This window comes from Homo sapiens, chromosome 6 (assembly GCF_000001405.40).
Source record: "Homo sapiens chromosome 6, GRCh38.p14 Primary Assembly".
In the NCBI taxonomy this organism is placed as follows: Eukaryota; Metazoa; Chordata; class Mammalia; order Primates; family Hominidae; genus Homo; species Homo sapiens.
Genome location: NC_000006.12, coordinates 88,979,382 through 88,983,811, shown reverse-complemented (window position 1 = coordinate 88,983,811; position 4,430 = coordinate 88,979,382).

Genomic DNA, 4,430 nt, shown 5'->3' with positions numbered 1-4,430 from the left:
CCCCCTTAAGGTCTGACACACTTAAATCCCAGTTTGGATTAGAACAAAGATTTCCTGCCTCTGCTGGCAAGTTCCAGCATTGCACACCCTCTCGCAGCCTGGTTCTTTGGCTTACTGGTTGGGAGGCTTGGGGCAAGTTATTGAACCTATCGCTGAGCTGGTTTCCTCATCTATAAAATGGAGATGATAGCAATGTCTACCTCATACAACTGTGAGGATTAGGCCGGGTGTGGTGGCTCATGCCTGTAATCCCAGAGCTTTGGGAGGCCGAGGTGGGCAGATCACTTGAGGTCAGGAGCTCAAGACCAGCCTGGCTAACATGGTGAAACCCTGTCTCTACTAAAAACACAAAAATTAGCCAGGCGTGGTGGCAGGCACCTGTAGTCCCAGCTACTAGGGAGGCATGAAAATCGCTTGAACCCCCAGGAGGCAGAGGTTGCAGTGAGCAGAGATCATGCCACTGCACTCCAGCCTGGGTGAGAGAGTGAGACTTGGTCTCAAAATATACATATGTGTGTGTGTATATATATATGTATATATGTAAGGCACAATACACACACAAAATTGTATTATCAAGTGAAAAGATAGTGTTCCACATAATTCAAACAGTAGAATTAATTTTTTAATTAAATTTGTATTGCACACAGAAACAGAGTTATTATCTCTGAAAACCTTTGTGCCTTGACAGTAGCGTTCAGAAAGCAGTTGTTTTCCTTTCAATCTTTAGTATTTTCCAGTAAAGAAACTTATATAAAAGCTGGATAGGCAGAGGTACCCTGCTAGTCACTGTTATTTAATTACGTGGTAGGTTAGGCTGACCTCTATTATTATGAGTTTGGTGAAGCGGGGCCAAACCCAACATTTGGAATAGGCACACACATGTGTAATAGAAGAACCTGACTCACTGACCCACTTTCTTGGTTACCAAAGCAATGAGAGTTTGGATTATCTGGTTTTTAGCTCCACCTAGTGACCATATATATGGCTCAGTTTTCAGCTGTAAAATTATGGAGAATTCTAGTTTTATGTTTAAACAAAAATACATTCAACTTCTCACTATTCAGGGGAAATGATCCCATATACACATTTTTGATTTTTTTGTTTTGCATAAAATAACAGGCTTAGAGTTCCTGGAGATGATCAGAAAGTTAGAGGACTTCCTATTTAGAACAGAAAGATTGGAGTCATCTTTGATTTTTCCCTTATTTGGTATGTCCATTCTGTCATCAAGCTCTAAAAAAATTAATTTATCAAAACATTATCCAGCCACATGTACTAATTTAATGCTTCCTTTGGGATTGTCTGCTTAGTGAAGCAATGTATTGGACATTACCCTAGAGTTTGGGATTCCAGGCCCCGCTCCTTTGCAGAGCCTTGGAGAAGAATGATTATAGGTGTATCTAGAAAGAGAAGGCTTGAGCAACAGGGTTTCCAGTCCTACAAAACTTGCCTTTTCCCACAGTGTGGTTGGTTGAGAAGCAGAAGAGAGCTTCTGGACCTGAGGGAGCCACAAAAAGGATCAGCGCAAGCTATATGACCGGATGGTCAGTGATAATAGGCAACCTTTCCCTTTACCTGCTTCTTGGAAATGTGTTGTCTGAGCCCTCAGAACCAATATATAACTCTAGGGATAGGGTAGGGCAGGAAGCCCCAAGGATGCCAGAACTGAGGGCTGGGCGTGGTGGCTCACATCTGTAATCCCAGCACTTTGGGAGGCTGAGGTGGGAGGATCACCTGAGGTCAGGAGTTTGAGTCCAGCCTGGCCAACATGGCAAAACCCCATCTCTACTAAAAATACAAAAATTAGCTGGGTGTAATCTGTAATCCCAGCCACTCAGGAGGCTGAGGCATGAGAATTCCTTGAACCTGGGAGGCAAAGGTCGCAGTGAGCCAAGATCGTGCCACTGTACTCCAACCTGGGCAACAGAGTAAGACTCTGTCTCAAAAAATTAAAAAAAAATGCCAGAACTGAAATTTCCTCCCTGTTTAGCAAGAAGGGGACTCAGAATCAAGATTAAGTTGATTTATAGAAAATAAAGAGATGCCCATCCTGGCCAACATGGTGAAACCCTGTCTCTACTAAAAATACAAAAATTAGCTGGGCGTGGTGCCACGTGCCTGTAGTCCCAGCTACTTGGGAGGCTGAGGCAGGAGAATTGCTTGAACCCAGGAGGCGGAGGTTGCAGTGAGCCGAGATCATGCCACTGCACTCCAGCCTGGCGACAGAGCAAGACTCTGTCTGAAAAAAAATAAAATAAAATAAAATAAAATAAAATAAAATAAAATAAAATAAAATAAAATAAAGAGATGCAATGTTTTTGCACACAGGTTTGTGGCTGGAGAATCAGATCTCTACATTAGGAACCTGTTCAGTGTTGGCTGTACTTTGCAGCCCTGGAACTGGAGTTATTTCATATTGAGACCTTGTTAATGAGTTGATGTGCAGACATGAATTTGGGCCTTTAGAAGTCACTGATCAGTGAGGGAATGCCTGCAGACTCTGAGTTAACAAGATTTGAAAGCATGCTATGGAAAAATTTAAATTCCTTGGCACCTCAACAACATACTAGCAAACCGAATCCGACAACACATCAAAGAGGTAATTAACCACGATCAAGGGGTTTCATCCCAGGGATGCAGAGATTGTTCAACATATGGAAGTCAATAAATGTAATGCACCACATAAACAGAATTAAAAACAAAAACAATATGATCATCTCAATAGATGCAGAAAAAGCATTAAAATCAGGCATTACTTTATAATACAAACTCTCAACAAATTAGGCATAGAAGGAACCTACCTCGAAAATAATAAAAGCCTGGGCACAGTGGCTCACACTTGTAATTCCAGCATTTTGGGAGGCCAAGGCAGAAGGATTGCTTGAAGGCAGAAGGATTGCTTGAAGCCAGGAGTTCCAGACCAGCCTGGGCAACAAACTGAGACCCTGTCTCTACAACAATAAATAAGTAATTAAATAAATTAAAAAAATATAAAAGCCATATGTGGAAAACCCAGAGCCAACATTATACTGAATGAGGAAAAGTTGAAAACATCCCCTCTAAGAACTGGAACAAGATAAGAATGCTCACTTTCATCACTTCTATTCAACATAGTACTGAAAGTCCTAGCCAGAGCAATCAGGCAAGACAAAGAAATAAAGGGCATCCAAATTGGAAAAGCGAAAGCTGAACTATCTCTGTTTGCCAATGATACAGAAAACTCTAATGACTCCTCCAAAAGACTTTTAGATAGGAAATTGATTCAGTAGAGCCTCAGGTTACAAAATCAATGTACACTAATCAGTAGCACTGTTATACACCAACAAGGACCAAGCTGAGAATCAAATAAAAAACTCAATCCCTTTTATAATAGCTGCAAAAAAGTAATAATAAAATAGGAATATACTTAACCAAGGAGGTGAAAGATCTCTACAAGAACTACAAAACATTCCTGAAAGAAATAATAGATGACACAAACAAATGGAAATACATCCCATGCTCATGGATTGAAAGAATCAATATTGTGAAAAAGACCATTCTGCCCAAAGCAATCTATAGATTCAATGTAACTCCTATCAAAAAATCAACATGATTTTTCACAGAATTCGAAAAAACAATCCTAAAATTCATATGGAATCAAAAAAGAGCCCAAATAGCCAAAGCAACCCTAAGCAAAAAGAACAAATCTGGAGGCATCACATTACCTGACTTCAAATTATACTGTAAGACTACAGTAACCAAAATAGCACAGTACTGGTATAAAGTAGATACACAGACCAATGAAACAGAATAGAGATCCCAGAAATAAAGCCAAATACAACCAACTGATCTTTGACAAAGCGTACAAAAACATATATTGGGGAAAGGACACCCTATTCAATAAATGGTGCTGGGAAAGCTGGATAGCTACATGAAGAAGAATGAAACTGGATCCCTGTCTCTCACCCTATATAAAATCAACTCAAGATGGATTGGATTAAAGACTTAAATCTAAGACCTGTAACCATAAAAATTCTAGAAGAAAATCTAGGAAAAAACTCTTCTGGACATTGGCCTAGGCTAAGAATTTATGACTAAGACCCCAAAGCAAATGTAATAAAAACAAAAATAAATGGGATCTAATTGAATTTAAAATGTTTCTGCACAGCAAAGTAAATAAACATCAGAATAAACAGACAACCCACAGAATGGGAAAAAATGTTTGCAAACAATGCATCTGACAAAGGACTAATATCCAGCATCTATAAGGAACTCAAACAAATCAGCAAGAAAACAAAAATAAAAACAAATAATCCCATTAAAAAGTGGGCAAATGGCTGGGTTCAGTGGCTCACATCTGTAATCCCAGCACTTAGAGAGGCTGAGGCAGGAGAATTGCTTGAGCCCAGGAGTTTGAGTCCAGCCTGGTCAACATAGTGAGACCCTCTCTC